At 45.8% G+C, this 16,012-nt stretch overlaps 2 protein-coding genes and 1 long non-coding RNA gene across 8 annotated transcripts in view, besides 2 other annotated features; 1 reads left to right on the top strand and 2 right to left on the bottom strand.

Moving 5' to 3' along the window:
- The window catches only part of MICOS10-NBL1 (MICOS10-NBL1 readthrough), a 61,474-nt gene extending 58,913 nt beyond the window's left edge, over positions 1-2,561 (bottom strand). For both annotated transcript variants that reach the window (NM_001204088.2, NM_001204089.2), the window contains exon 1: positions 2,431-2,561. The gene's annotated coding sequence lies outside the window, so the exon portion shown is untranslated. The remainder of the gene's footprint in view (positions 1-2,430) is intronic.
- MICOS10 (mitochondrial contact site and cristae organizing system subunit 10) overlaps positions 1-2,561 on the bottom strand; it is a 32,842-nt gene extending 30,281 nt beyond the window's left edge. For all 5 annotated transcript variants that reach the window (NR_033757.3, NR_033758.3, NM_001204083.2 and 2 more), the window contains exon 1: positions 2,431-2,561. Coding sequence is in view for 3 of the 5 variants with exons in the window: in NM_001204083.2 (NP_001191012.1) it covers positions 2,431-2,494 (64 nt within the window). In the remaining 2 variants the exon portion in view is untranslated. The remainder of the gene's footprint in view (positions 1-2,430) is intronic.
- Positions 2,139-2,348: a silencer, noted in NCBI's record as "silent region_357". NCBI's record gives its function as "represses an Ori minimal core promoter by ATAC-STARR-seq in GM12878 lymphoblastoid cells {active_cell/tissue: GM12878}" and the evidence as "EXISTENCE:reporter gene assay evidence [ECO:0000049][PMID:35858748]".
- Positions 2,469-2,768: an enhancer, noted in NCBI's record as "active region_305". NCBI's record gives its function as "activates an Ori minimal core promoter by ATAC-STARR-seq in GM12878 lymphoblastoid cells {active_cell/tissue: GM12878}" and the evidence as "EXISTENCE:reporter gene assay evidence [ECO:0000049][PMID:35858748]".
- Positions 2,708-7,738, top strand: MICOS10-DT (MICOS10 divergent transcript). The gene is made up of 2 exons (NR_135054.1): positions 2,708-2,830; positions 7,655-7,738. It is a non-coding gene; the product is annotated as an MICOS10 divergent transcript (long non-coding RNA).
- The last annotated feature ends 8,274 nt before the right edge of the window (positions 7,739-16,012 follow it).

The raw sequence follows: 16,012 nt of genomic DNA, 5'->3' as shown, positions 1-16,012 counted from the left end.
AAAAGAGTCTGAATCACTCATTTTAACTTATACCTGAGATCGTACATCACCTTGCCTCATTTAATTACTCCACATGTATATGCTGCACCCCTATCAACGTTCTACGCATGAGAGACAGAGTGACACTATTCACTGCCTCACGTGGTCTTCAGTAGCACAATAATATTAATATCAACAACTATTGGCTGGGTGCAGTGGCTCAAGCTTGTAATGCCAGCACTTTGGGAGGCTGAGGATGATGGATCACTTAAGCCCAGAAGTTTGAGACCGGCCTGAGGAATATGGCAAAACACCGTCTCTACCAAAAAATACAAAAATAGTTGAGCATGGTGGCACACACCTATAGTCCCAGCTACTCAGGAGGCTGAGGTGGGAGGATCACTTGAGCCCAAGGAGACAGAAGTTGCAGTGAGCCGAGATCCCACCACTACACTCCAGCCTGGGTGACAGAGCGAGACCCTATTTCAAAAAATAAAAAACAACTACTATGAGTGTGGCGCATTGGCTCATGCCTGTAATCCTGGCATTTTGGGAGGCTGAGGCAGGAGGATCGCTTGAGCCCAGGAGTTAAAAGACCAACCTGGGCAACATAGGGAGACCCTGCCTGTATAAAAAAAATAAGTTAATTAAAAATAAATATAAATAAAATACATTAAAAAATTTTAAAAGCCAGTTATTATGACTACCATTACTGTATACATAAAGCACCAGGCACTGTGCTAAGTAGCTTATGTATTTTTCTGTCCTTTACTTTTTTTAATACTTTCAGGTAAATCTCTTTTGATCACCATTTCGTAGTTGAGAAAGAGACTTTACCCAAAGCTACAAAATTAGTAAGGATGGGCGAGAAGAGTGAGAGTGGATGATTCGAACTCAGCTCTGTCTACCTCCAAAGCCCCTTCTTCTTCTTCTCCTTTTTTTTTTTTTTAAGGGAAGGGTCTCACTTTGTTTCCCAGGCTGGTCTCCAACTCCTGATCTCAGGCGATCCTCCCGCCTCGGCCTCCCAAAGTGCTGGGATTACAGGCCTGAGCCACTTCGCCCAGCTCAAAGCCCTTTCTTAACTATATGACATTGCCTAGTAACTACTTTGGTCATTTCATAGCTAGGTGTTAAGTCTTCTCTCTGAACTGCAAGCTGTTAACAGTAACAAAACAAAAGTGACTGTTTAGTCGCTTCCAAAATAACCCATTCCTAAGTGATCCATATTCAAGCCTTTAAACAAACTAACTCATTTAATCCTCCCAACGACTCCATGAGATAGTAATAATTATTACTGCCGATTTCCAAATAGGAATCAGGCACAGAAAAGTTAAATAACTTGCCCCAAATCACTTGACTGTAAGTGCTGAATTCAGAGGTGAAATGGTAACTTATAAACTGTTTCATTTATTGACTCACTCTCAACAATTTTTATTAAGCACTCTTTTAGGGGCTGGGGATGGGGCAGTGACTAAACCAGAAAACATCCCTGCTCTCATGGAGCTTACAATCTTATTCCTCAATGTTTTCATTCAAAGACACAATCCTAAATCCTCTTAAATACCCTAAGATTACCACACAAAAATATCACATTTGGGTAACAAAAATTAGCATCGAAGAAGGAACATGGGACTTGACCCCAGAAAAGCTGGGTAAAATCCCTAATTTTGCCATTTGTTAGCTGTGACCGTGGGCAAATTCCTTCACCTGACTCTCCATTTCACGGCCTGTAAAAAGATTATTTCGCACAATGAAGACAATATACGCTCAATAAACGAGTTTCCTTTCTCCTCCCCACCATACAGTGACTTCATAATTTGTGCCGTCACTGAGCACGTGTTAAAGGACTACGCAGAAAAACTTAACGTGAACAACTTCTTACTTTCCAGCGCAATTCTCATTCCAGATCATCACCCCTCTAAGTTCAGGCCCCAGACTACTCTGATTCAAATAAATCAGGTGGCAAGTCGGGAATGACAGCAACTCGCATCAGGGCCTGGCGGTGTCTATGAAATGCTCCAGGTGACCTTCTCCAGAAGGCACTTTGGTTTCCGCCGGGGAGCAGCGTGGCCTCCTGAGCCGGTTCCCCGCCGCGTGCCGGGGAATGCACCACCCGGGAGGAGAACCCCGCGGCTCCGGCACGAGGGTGTGCCCCGACACTGTCTTCCACTCAAGAGCTCTGCGACTCTCCTGCCACCTGCCAACCCCGACCACCTCCTCCGGGCTGCAACTCCACCCCGCACCCGGGCTGCTGCTCCGGCTCCTCGGGTCTGTGCCCGCCGCCCGAGTGACCTCCCGCCGGGGCCCGGGCGGCTCGCCCTGGCCGGAGGGGCCGGAAAAGGCCGAGAGGCCTGACCTCCCGTGGGGCTTCCCTTCCTTCCTCCTGGGCAGCGCAGCCTGGAGCCAGCAGCTCTGCACCGGCCGGGCCTGCTGGGGCGAAAAGCCCCTTACCTATCTTCACGACCGCATCCGCCAGACACCGGTCCCACTTCCTGCCGAGCTCCGACTCAGACATGTTCCCCACCCGCGCCTCCAGCTTTCCTCTCGGCCGGCCCCCGCGCTCCGACCCCTGAAAGTCTCGCGAGAGCTGGAAACAAGTCCCAGGTCAGGAAGGCAGGCGCAGACGCTCCAGATATCGCGAGATGATCCGCTGCTTCCATCCCTTCCGGTTTTTTCAGTTGGTCGTCAAGGTGACGAGTTGTCTGGAGGCTCGAGGTGACCCTGACCTTGGGGCTGCGCCTATGGGTTTGCGAGGCTGACAGTTTCCTAGGCGTCACCCCAAGCCGTGACCAGGCCTTTCCTCCTCACCAAAGTGCGACATTGGCCCTGGAAATCCCCCGGGCAAGAGAGGGTACAGACTTGATTTATTCATTCATTAACGTACTCACCTTCACTTTCCCTACTCACTCTCTCATTCGTTCACTGGTTTCTTGCATTGGAATTCCCGCCTGAACCACTAACACCGAAACTGCTCTGGGAAAGATTACCTACCGCCAAATCAAATGGACTCTTTTCTGACCTCTGTACCGCATTCCACACAATTTTCCCTCCCTCTGATCCTCCCTGGCTCCTCTATTCGTTTCACTCCCGGTAACGCCACTCTTTCCTCTTCTCCCCATCTGCTGTTGTCTGTTGGTTTCCTCCAGGGCTGCCTTTTCTCTGCCAGCTGTTTAAGGACTGTTGGTTCGCAAGCTTCCATCAATTCTCTTTTCACTGTACAGACTCTCCCTGAGTAATTGCAAACACTGCCAAATTATATCTCCAGGTAAAACGTCTACCTCAGGCCTCCTATCCATGTATATATTTACACACCCACCCACACACACACACACATACACATACATACACAGGGTGCCCTCTGTATCTGTGGGTTTTGCATCCATGGATTTAACCAACCATGGACCAGAAACATTTTTGAATCAAATAAAAAATAATGCAAAATTTAAAATACAGTACAACTATTTACCTAGGATTTACATTGTATTAGGTATTATAAGTAACCTAGAGATGATTTAAAGTATATGGGAGCCAGCGCAGTGGCATGCGACCGTAGTCCCAGCTACTTGGGAGGCTGAGATGGGAGGATTGCTTGAGACTAGGAGTTCGACTTCATCTCTTTAAAAAAAAATAAGTAATTTTAAAAAAGGATATGTAAGCATGTGTGTAGGTTGTATGCAAATACCACGCCATTTTATATATGGGACTTGAGCATCCTGCATTTTGGTAACTGCGAGATCCTGAAACCAAATGCCCACAGCTATCAAGAGAGATTGTATATCCAGCCTACTGGCTAGTGTCATTGATTTTAGTCTTCCATCCTACCAACAAATAGAAATCTGACCACGTTATGCCTCTGATTAGAAGCTGTCAATGAAGGCCGAGAGCAGTGGCTCACACCTGTAATCCCAACACTCTGGGAGGCTGAGGCGGGAGGATTGTTTGAGGCCAGTAGTTCAAGACCAGCCTAGGCAGCATAGTGAGACTCCTGTCTCTACAAAAAATTTAAAAAATTAGCCAGGCTAATGTGATGTGTGCCTTTAGTCCCAGCTACTTAGGAGGCTGAGGTAGGAGGATCACTTGAGCCTGGGAAGTGGAGGCTACACTGAGCCATGTTCATGCCACTGCACTCCAGCCTGGGCATCAGAGTGATACCCTATCACAAAAGAAAAAAAAAAAAAGCTGTCAATGACTCCCATTCATACACTGGATCTATCCAAGCTTCAACACTGCACTGATTCTAGGAAGCCTAGTCAGATAGAGCTTAGAGCTGCCTTCCCCTTCTCATTGTCCCACTACCCTGCCTACCCGCATTGATTTCTCTATCTAGTACTGAAACATCTGGTTGTAGATATTATCTGCTAGTAGAACTAGAAGTTGCCCCTTCGTCTTCATACTTCCAGTCAGAGCACAATGCCTTGGATAGTAGGGTCTTCTATGAAATATTTGTTGAACTGAATTGAATTTATTCACCTATTTATTTGTTTATTTATTTATTGAGAGAGAGTCGCGCTCTGTTGCCCAGGCTGGAGTGCAGTGGCACGATCTCGGCTCACTGCAACCTCTGCCTACTGGGTTTGAGCAATTCTTCTGCCTCAGCCTCCAAAATAGCTGGGATTACAGGCGCCCACCACCACGCCTGGCTAACTTTTTGTATTTTTTTAGTAGAGATGGGGTTTCGCCATATTGGCCAGGCTGGTCTTGACTCCTGGCCTCAAGTGATCCACCCACCTTGGCCTCCCAAAGTGCTGGGATTACAGGCATCGTTCAACTATTTATTTGCAACTATGACAGCAAAACTCTGTTGTATCAGATCTTGCTACGACAGCCTCTTCCTTCAAGATAACTTCTATGACCACCCTTCCCTTCTCCTAGTTCTCTATTTTTTTAAATTATTCTTTCTTTTTTTTTTTTTTTTTGAGACAGAGTCTTGCTCTGTCACCCAGGCTGGAGTGCAGTGGCATGATCTTGGCTCACTGCAACCTCTGCCTCCCAGGTTCAAGAGATTCTCCTGTCTCAGCCACCTGAGTAGTTGGGATTACAAGCACGTGCCACCACCCCCAGCTAATTTTTGTATTTTTAGTAGAGATGGGGTTTCACCATGTTGGCCAAGCTGGTCTTGAACTCCTGACCTCAGGTGAACCACCCACCTCAGCCTCCCAAAGTGCTGGGATTACAGGCTTGAGCCATCATGCCCAGCCCTATTTTTCCTATTCTTTAAATTTTTCTTTGCTTTTCCTTTTTTATAGAGGTGAGGTTTTGCTATGCTGCCCAGGCTGGTCTCGAACTCCTGGGCTCAAGCCATCCTCCCACTTTGTCCTCCCAAAGTACTAGGATTATAGGCCTGAACCACCATGCCCAGCCCCTTCTAATTCTCATCACAGCTACTTATCAGATGATTTGTGTTTTTAATAATTGTTTGTAATTTTAACAATTATTTGTGTGTCTTTTGGATTTTGACTGTGAGCAAATTGAGAATGGAGGCCGTGCCATTTCTGTATCCCTAATGCTTAGCAGAGAGCTTGGTATATATCGGATTCTCAATAAATGCTTGTCGAATGGACATAAAAATTAATAAATAAGGCCGGGCACGGTGGCTCACGCCTGTAACCCAGCACTTTGGGAGGCCGAGGCGGGTGGCTCACAAGGTCAGGAGATCGAGACCATCCTGGCTAACACGGTGAAATCTTGTCTCTACTAAAAATACAAAAAATTAGCTGGGCATGGTGGCGGGCGCCTGTAGTCCCAGCTACTCGGGAGGCTGAGGAAGGAGAATGGCGTGAACCAGGGAGGCAGAGCTGGCAGTGAGCCAAGATGGCGCCACTGCACTCTGGCCTGGGCGACAGGGCAAGGATCTGTCTCAAAAAAAAAAAAAAAAAAGAATAAATATATGAACAAATGATTTAATTAATCAGAAAGAGAAAAAGTCCCTGTTCTGGGGAAACTGTGTAGTGTAACATTTCTGTTGAAAAAGAAAGAAAATAAACTTCACTAAAATACCTATCACATGGCTGGGTGCAGTGGCTCATTCCTGTAATCCACTTTGGGAGGCCGAGGCAAGAGGATCACTTGAGCCCAGGAGGTCAAGGCTGTAGTGACCGTGATGGTGCCACTGCACTCCAGCCTGGGTGACAGAGCGAGACCCTGTCTCTAAATAAATAATACCTATGGTGTGTCATAAATAGCTGCAGGCACTTCGCATAATTTCATTTATTCTCACAGCAGGTCAAGATTAGCATCTTCGTTTTCAGATTTGGAAACTGAGTCTCCGAGAAGTTAAGCAACACAGAAGATGCACAAAGCTCCACGTTGTGTAGATTTAAAATTGACAAAGGCATTTTTATTGGATTCAAGAGAGTTGTAAACTCTTGCAAAAGGTAGAGAGCAAATTACAAAAGCAATCAGAGGCAGATGTGATAGCATGAATCTGGAGCCAGGCTCTCTGGGTGCAGATCCCAGCTTTCCCATTTCCTAGCCTTCTTTCTATTGTTCTGTTTTCCCACCATTCCTTCCCCAATACAATGTTTTGTTCACTGCTATATCCCTAGCCCTATAAGATTATCTCACACATAGTGTCTGCTTGATAAATATTTGTTGGTTGAATGAATAAGATGAATGAAAACTCTGGAGTTTTTGTACTTCTTGAAGAACAAAGATTAATACAAGTGGGGAAAAATATTTTTTTAAAAACTCAGCAATACACTCATTATAAACTTAGTTACATTCAAAATGATTAAAAATAGGTTTCTCATTGCTGGGGTTACAAACATGGAAAGGAGGAAAGCTGCAAAGAACTCTATGCTGTTGGATTGGAATTGAAGGTGTCAGTATGACCTCATAGTGTTTAATATAATAAAGATAAGAAAGTACTCAGAGGATGATAGTGACATGTCGAAGTATTTTATTTACTTATGTTATTTAGAGACAAAATATCATTCTGTTGCTCAGACTGGAGTGCAGTGACACTATCATAGATCACTGCAGCCTCGAACTCCTGGGCTCAAGCAATCCTCCCACCTCAGCCTCCCAAGTAGTTAGGACAACAAGCACATACCACCTGGCCTGCTATTTTATTTTATCATTATCATTATTATTATTATTATTTGAGACAGAGTCTGTCTCTGTCACCCAGGCTGGAATGCAGTGACGTAATCTCGCTCACTGCAAGTTCTACCTCCCAGGCTCAAGTGATCCTCCTAGCTCAGCCTCCCAAGTAGCTGGGACTACAGGTGCACACCATCACATCTGGCTGATTTTTGTATGTTTTGTAGAGATGGGGTTTCACCATATTGCCCAGGCTGGTCTCGAACTCCTGAGCTCAAGCAGTCTTCTCACCTTGGCCTTCCAAACTGCTGAGGTTATAGGTGTGAGCCACTGCGCCCAGCCCAAACTGATTTAGTAACTACAAACTGCCTAAAATAGTGCTTGGCTCCTAATTGGAATTCTGTAATTCATTATTATTATAGCACTGCTCTTAATTGTCTGGAACAGGTTTCACAAAGATAGAAGTTTACATTTCAAATGAATAAAGACAGACTCCTGTAAGAGGAAGAGAGCCAACATCTTTTTACACTGTATTGAAGAAAAATAAAAAACCAAAGTCTGTCACTTGAATAGGCTAGACTTTAGCCTCAACTGGTTAATCAACTAAACATAAACTCTTTGTTTGGTTTACTAGGTTGTAAATTCAGCTTCCTTAACGTCGCAGATTAGAATGTTCTACACCACAGCACCTGCATAAATAAAGGTCTTTTAGATGCCAGTGATTTTCTTCATGGTTTCTCTTCAATTAAAAACTAATGTCTTAGGCTGGGTGCAGTGGCTCACACCTGTAATCTGAGCGCTTTGGGAGGCCAAGGTGGGAGGATCGGTTGAGCCCAGGAGTTCAACACCGACCTGGGCAACATAGGGAGACTCTGTCTCTACAAATAATAAAAACATATAGCTGAGTGTGGTAGTGCACACCTAGAGTCCCAGCTAGTTGGGAGGCTGAGGCAGGAGGATCACTTGAGCCCAGGAGGTCTGGGTTGTAGTGAGCTGTGATCATGCCACAGCATTCCAGCCTGGGTGACAGAGCAAGACCCTGTCAAAAAAAAAAAAAAAAAAAGAGAAAAGAAAAGGAAAAAAAAACCTCTAATTCCTTTCTTAAAGAAGAGTCACATTTTTTTGTTGTATTTCATATCTTCTTTTTCCAAGAGGGGTCCTATATCATTTTGTCCCTTCAGGAATGTGTTCAGAGTCAAAATCTACTACATAGCTGCTTTGTTTGGTTCCAAAGCCCAGGGACCCCCTCCCCTTTTTAATGTATGTGTATGTATGAAATATTCCAAGCATTCGGAAAAGTGCTAAGAACATGGCCAGGTGCGGTGGCTCACGCCTGTAATCCCAACACTTTGGGAGGCCAAAGTTGGAAGATCTCTTGAGTCCAGGAGTTTGAGACCAGCCTGAGCAACATAGTGAGACCTTGTCTCTACAAAAAAATCAAAAAAAGAGGCGGGAGGATAGCTTGGAGAAGGGAGGATAGCTTGAACCGGAGGTTGAGGCTGCAATAAGCCGTGATCACATCACATCACAGCACTCCTGCCTGGGTGACAGAATGAGACCCTGCCTCAAAAAATAATAATAATAAATACATTAATTAATTAAAAATTAGTCAGGTGTGGTGACGAGTTGCTGTAGTCTCAGCTACTTGGGAGGCTGAGTCCAGAGGATTGCTTGAGTAAAAGAGTTCAAGGTTGCAATGAGTTATGATCACGCCACTGCACTTCAGCCTGAGCAACAGAGCTTGACCCCATCTCAAAAGAAAACATAAATACAGCTTAACAAATTGTTGTAAAATGAACATGACTAGCACCCCAGAAGACCCTTCTCTGCATTTCCTTCAGCAGATCCAAACTGCTCCCTCCTTGCCAAGGCAGGATAGCATAACCACTATCTCGACTTTTTTTTTTTCCCCAGACAGAGTATCACTCTGTTGCCCAGGTTGGAATGCAGTGGTGCAATCAAGGCTCACTGCAGCCTCGAAGCCTCCTGCCTCCAACTCCCAAGTAGCTGGGGCTACAGGCACGTGCCAGCATGCCTGGCTAATTTTTTGCTTTTTACTTTTTGTAGAGACAGGGACTTGCTGTATTGCCCAGGCTGGTCATGAATTCCCGGGCTCAAGTGATCCTCCCATTTCAACCTCCCAAAGTGCTGGGATTATAGAAGTAATCCACAGCACCTGGTATATCTTGACTTCTATGTTATTCATTTCCTTGTTTTTCTTTAAGTGTTGCTACCTGGTTATATATCCTTAAACAATATAGTTTAATTTTGCCTAATTTTGAACTTTGCTTAACTGGAATCATACAGTCTGTATGTTATGGTATTCAGCTTCTTTTCCTCATTAGTATCCATGCTTCTGTATGTAACTATAGTTCGTTCTTTTTCGTTGCTATATCATATTCCATTATATGCTGTCCACAATGTATTTAGTCTATTGTCCATGGATATTTGGGTTGTTTCCAGCTTGAGGCTTCTTTTTTTTTTTTTTTTTTTTGAGACTGAGTCTCCTTCTGTTGCCCAGGCTGGAGTGCAGTGGCGTGACCTCGGCTCACTACAACCTCCGCCTCCCAGGTTCAAGTGATTCTCCTGCCTCAGCCTCCTGAATAGCTGGGACTACAGGTGCCCACCACCACACCCAGCTAATTTTTGTATTTTTAGTAGAGACACCGTTCAGCTATGTTGGCCAGGCTGGTCTCAAACTCCTGACCTCAAGTGATCTGCCCGCCTCGGCCTCCCAAAGTGCTGGAATTACAGACATGAGCCACTGTGCCTGGTCTCAGCTTGAGACTGTTGCCAACAAGTCTTCTCATTCTTCTATGAATATCCTGATATACACTGGCATTTATATACATATAGGCAGGATCTCATTCTGTTACCCATGCTGCAGTGCAGTGGCATAGTAGGCTTACTGCAGCTTCAACCCCTCAGGCTCAGGCAATCCTCCTGCCTCAGCCTCCCAAGTAGCTGGAACCACAGGTGGTGCATGCCACCATCCCTGGCTAATTTTTATATTTTTTTTGTGTGGAGACATGGTTTTGCTATGTTGCCCAGGCTGGTCTCGAATTCCTGGGCTCAAGGGATCCACCATTCTCAGCCTCCCAAAATGCTGGGATTACAGGTGTGAGCCACCACGCCCGGCTCAATGGGCATATATTTTTATAGAATATGTAAGTCAGGAGGGCGATAGGGTATGTATACCTTCAGCTTCACTTGATACTGCCAAACTTTATCCCAAAGTGATTGTACCAATTTACATTGTCCCCAGCAGCATATGACCATTCCTGTTACTCCATGTCCTCACCAACAGTTAGGCTGTAATGATACTTTAGTATTGTTGCCAGTCTGGTAGGTGTCTGCTAGTATCTCATTGGGGTAGTGCTTGCTCTTTCCTGTGAGTGAGCTACTAGTCATGTACTCTGAATATATAATGTAGCAGGACTGGGGGATTCCAATCAAATCAAAGAGGCCCTGAAAGAGAAGGGAAATTGACAGAGACATTTTGCTAAAGTGATGCCTTGCCAACTTGAAGAAGGTGTGCTGGGTTCAATAGTGTCCCCCCAAATTGATGTCCTTCCTAGAACCTCACAGTGTGGCCTCATTTGGAAATAGGGTTGTTGAAAATGTAATTAGTTGGCTGGGTGCGATGGCTCATGCCTGTAATCCCAGCACTTTGAGAGGCCGAGGCGGGCAGATCACCTGAGGTCAGGAGTTCGAGACCAGCCTGGCCAACATGATGAAACTCCTCTCTACTAAAAATAGAAAAATTAGCTTGGCATGGTGGCTTAGCTTGGCATGGTGGCAGGCGCCTGTAATCCCAGCTACTAGGGAGGCTGAGACAGAAGAATCACATGAACCCAGGAGGCAGAGGTTGTAGTGAGCCGAAATTGCACCACTGCACTCCATCCTGGATGACAAAAGCAAAACTCTGTGTCAAAAAAAAAAAAGTAATTAGTTAAAATTAGGCCAGGTGCTGTGGCTCACACCTATAATCCCAGCACTTTGGAAGGCCGAAGTGGGAGGATCACTTGAGTCCAGGAGTTTGAGACCAGCCTGGGCAATATAGTGAGACCTTGTTTGTACAAAAAATGTTAAAAATTAGCCAGGCGTGGTGGTGCATGCCTATAGTCCCAGCTTCTTGGGAAGCTGAGGTGGGAGGATCACTGGAGCCCAGGAGGCAAGGGCTGCAGTGAGCTAAGATCACACCACTACTACTGCACTCCAGCCTGGCGATAGTGAGACCCTGTCTCAAAAAAAAAAAAAAAAAAAAAAAGATTAGCTCATACTGGAGTGAGATGCACACTAAACCAAAAAGACTGGTGTCCCCATAAGAAAAGAAGAAGAAACACAAAAACAGAGAAGATGACCCTGTGACAACACAGGCAGATAATTTGGCTTATGTGGATATAAGCCAAGGAAGACCACGGATCGCCAGCAAGCACCAGGCGCCAGAAGAAAGGCATGGAACGGATGCTCTCTCTGAGTCCCCTGAAAGGAATCAGTCCTGCTGACGCCTTGACTTTGGCCTTCCAGTCTTTGGAACTGAGAAACACTATAATTCTGTTGTTTCAAAGCCACCAGTTTGTGGTCCTTTGTTATGACATCGTGAGAGAACTAACACAGCAGGGAGCACACTGGATTGAAGATCATGAGAGCTGCACCCCAGTCTCCACTCTGCCGTTAACTGCTGGTTCTGCACATGTAGTCATGCCTGTCTTACCAGGTGGGCCTTTCTGTGGACTCACCTCTTTAGATTCGTTCTTTCTTTTTTTTTTTTTAAGTCAGAGTCTCACTCTGTTGCTCAGGCTGGAGTGCAGTGGCATGATCTTGGCTCTCTGCAACCTCCGCTTTCCAAGCTCAAGCAATTCTCCCACCTCAGCCTCCTGAGTAGCTGGGATTACAGGCATAAGCCACCATCACACCTGATTTTTTTGTGTGTGTGTGGAGACCGTATTTTGTCATGTTGCCCAGGCTGGGCTCAAGTGATCCCCTGCCTCAGCCTTCCAAAGTGCTGGGATTATAGGCATGAGCCACCAAGCCCAGCCTCTTCAGATTCCTGTATAGTAAGTCATGTACCGCATAATGCCGTTTCTGTCATCTGCAATCTAATGGTGGTCCCATAAGATTATAATACTGTATTTGTACTGTACTTTTTCTGTGTTTATATATGTTTATGGCCAAGCGTGGTGGCTCACGCCTGTAATCCCAGCACTTTGGGAGGCCATGGCGGGTGGATCACCTGAGGTCAGGAATTCAAGACCAGCCTGGTCAACATGGTGAAAACCCGTCTTTACTAAAAATACAAAAATTAGCCAGTCGTGGTGGTGCATGCCTATAATCCCAGCTACTCGGGAGGCTGAGGCAGGAGAATCACTTGAACCCAGGAGGTGGAGGTTGCAGTGAGTAGAGATGGTGCCACTGTACTCCAGCCTGGGCGACAGAGTGAGACTCTGTCTCAAAACAAACAAAAAAACAAACAAAACTGTATTTTTACTGTACTTTTTCTATGTTTAGATATGTTTAGGTACACACTTTCTATTGTGCTACTATTGCCTGCAGTATTCAGTACAGTAACACGTTGTACCGGTTTGCAGCCTAGGAGCAATAGGCTCTGCCATAGTCTGGGTGTGTAGTAGGCTGGAGCATGAAGTACACTCCATGATGTTTGCATGACGACAAGGTCGCCTAACAGCGTGTTTCTCAGCATATATCCCTGTGTTTAAGTGACTCATGAATGTGCTTGCTGCCTCCCCTTGGACCTTCGGGCCTAAGGCTGGGAAGGGCTCCCACTGTTACTAACTCTAGGGTACTGCACCATTCCTCGCTGCTTGTAAATAGCCCTTTTATTAAACTCTCATCCATTTTTCACCTTTATTTATCTTTTTTTTTTTTTTTGAGATGGAGTCTTACTTCATCACCCAGGCTGAAGTGCAGTGGCACCAGTGGCACCATCTTGGCCACTGCAACCTCCACCTCCCAAGTTCAAACGATTCTCCTGCCTCAGCCTCCCGAGTAGCTGGGACTGCAGGTGCACGCCACCATGCCTGGCTAATTTTTTTTGAATTTTTAGTAAAGACAGGGTTTCACCATGTTGGCCAGGCTTGTCTTAAACTCCTGACCTCAGTTGATCTGCCCGCCTTGGCCTCCCAAAGTGCTGGAATTACAGGTGTGAGCCACCGTACCCGGCCTATCTATCTATCTATCTATCTATCTATCTATCTATATCTATATCTATTGAGACAGGGTCTCACTCTATCTACCCAGATTGGAGTGCAGTGGTGCAATCTTGGCTCACTGCAGCCTCAACCTCCCTGGCTCAATGATCCTCCCACTTCAGCCTTCTGAGTAGCTGGGACCACAGGTGCAAGCCACCACCCCAGGCTAATTTTTTTATTTTTATTTTTTTGTAGAGGCTGGGTCTCCCTATGTTGCCCAGACTGGTCTCGAATTCCTGGACTCAAGTGATCCTCCTGCCTTGGCCTCCCAAAGTGCCAGGATTACAAGTGTGAGCCACTGTGCCCTGCCTCTCCTCCATTTCCTTTGTGTTTTTAAATATTTATTAATGTATGTATTTATGTTTCTTCTCCCATGCCCTTCAGGGATGAATACTTCCCAGTTTGAATGTGCCACCTGTTTCCTGCCAGGACCCTGACTGCTACATCTATGAGAGGTCCTTGCCCTGCCCCATTCCCTCCCTAGCCCCACTCCCCTCTGTTTCCTTCATGTTACATACCACAATTTCCAATTATCTCCTCTATTTGTTATTCCTCCCACACCCGCTGTTTCTCCCACTAGACTGTAAGCTCCATGAAGGCAGGGACTTCATCAGTTCTGTTATCATTATATTCCTAGTTCCTTGCAGTGTCTGGTACATTGTAGGCATTTAATCAATATTTCTTGAATGAATGAATTGGGAGCAGGAATTCTATATTTTTTACATCTTTAGTATTAGCCATGGCAAGTATTCAGTGGTGCATAACTGATGTGGTTTTTTGGTTTGTTTGTTTGTTTGTTTAGACAGTCTTGCTTTGTCACCCAGGCTGGAGTGTAGTGGTGTGATCTCAGCTCACTGCAACCTCCGCTTCCTGGGTTCAAGCAGTTCTCCTGCCTCAGCCTCCCAAGTCGCTGGGATTACAGGTGCACACCACCACAGCCGGCTAATTTTTGTATTTTTAGTAGAGATGGGGTTTCTCCATGTTGGTCAGGCTGGTCTTAAACTCCTGACCTCAAGAGATCCACCCATCTCGGCCTCCCAAAGTGCTGGGATTACAGGCATGAGCCATTGTGCCCAGCTTCAACTGATGTTCTATGTTCTCACATGGCCCTACCCTTGAGGCCAGAAGGTCTCAGTGTAGGACACAAGCTTGAGTTAGAACCAAAGTGGGTTTAAATGTGGCCTCATGTACAGTATGTGTTTAAATTAACCTTAGAGAGAGTTTGAGCTGAGGAAATGCTTGGAAAGGTGTGTTTGAAGGTGGAATTTCTCATTTCCCACATTTAAAGGTGCACATAAATAGATTTGTGAGACAGCATGAGTTTGACGCAAATAGCATCACTGAATTAGTTTAGATTTAAGTATGTGAGCTTTAGAGTGAGTCAGTGAAAGTTTAAACATTATACCTTGAGGCCAGGTGCAGTGGCTCACGCCTGTAATCCCAGCACTTTGGGAGGCCGAGGCAGGAGGATTGCTTGAGTTCACGAGTTCCAGATCAGCCTGAGCAAGATGACAAAACCCCATCTCTACAAAAAAGCACAAAAATTAGCCAGGCATGGTGGTGTGCACCTGTACTCTCAACTACTTGGGAGGCTGTGGGAGGATCGCTTCAGCCCAGGAGGCAGAGGTTGAAGTGAGCTGAAATGGTGCCACTGCACAAACAAACAAACAAACAACATTAAAGCTTGAGTATGAATACTTCAAAGTCCAGCCCAAACCCTGTATATGTGTCTACAACAGAGCAATCCTAGGCTTTTTTTTTTTTTTAAAGATGGTCTCACTGTGTTGCCCAGGCTGGAGTGCAGTGGCACAATCACAGCTCACCGCAGCCCTGACCTCCCAGGCTCAGATGATCCTCCTGCCTCAACCCCTCAAGTAGCTGGAACTACAGGTACGTGCCATCATACCTGGCTAATTTTTGTATTTTTTGTAGAGACAGGGTTTCTCCATGTTGCCCAGGCTGGTGTCAAACTCCTGGGCTCAAGGGATCCTCCCACCTCAGCCTCCCAAAGTGCTGAGATTACAGGCATGAGCCACTGCAGTCAAGTTAGCTTTGATTTTTACCTGGATTATATGAACTCAGCCTTGATGGAGTAACTGGCTATTGCTTGCCTGGTTCTGTTTGGTTAATTAAAAATTAGAGGCTCTGCTTGGTGACTCACGCTTGTATCCCAGCACTTTGGGAAGCCAAGGTGGGTGGATCACTTGAGGTCGGGAGTTCCAGACCAGCCTGGCCAACATGGTGAAACCTCATCTCTACTAAAAATAAAAATATTAGCCGGGCATGGTCGTGCATGCCTGTAATACCAGCTACTTGGGAGGCTGAGGCAGGAGAACTGCTTGAACTTGGGAGGCGGAGGTTGCAGTGAGCTGAGATCGTGCCACTGCACTCCAGCCTGGCTAAAAGTACAAGACTCGCATTAAAAAAAAAAAAAAAAATTAGAGGTTGGGCTCGGTGGCTCATGCCTGTAATCCCAGCACTTTGACAGGCTAAGGTGGGCAGATTGCTTGAGCCCAGGAATCCAAGACCAGCCTGGGCAACATGAGAAACCCTGTCCCTACAAAAAATAAAAAGTATTAGCTGGGAGTGGTGGCACGTGCCTGTGGTCCCAGTTATGCAGGAGGCTGAGGTGGGAGGATTGCTTGAGCCTAGGAGGTGGAAGCTGCAGTGAGCTATGATGGCACCACTGCACTTCAGCCTGGGTGATAGACCAAGACACTGTCTCAACAACAACAACAACAAATTAGAAAGCCAGCACAGTGGCATGTGTCTGTAGTCCT

Source organism: Homo sapiens, chromosome 1, assembly GCF_000001405.40.
Source record: "Homo sapiens chromosome 1, GRCh38.p14 Primary Assembly".
NCBI lineage: Eukaryota > Metazoa > Chordata > Mammalia > Primates > Hominidae > Homo > Homo sapiens.
The sequence above is the reverse complement of the archived record's forward strand: the minus strand, read 5'-3'. Positions and strand labels throughout refer to the sequence as shown.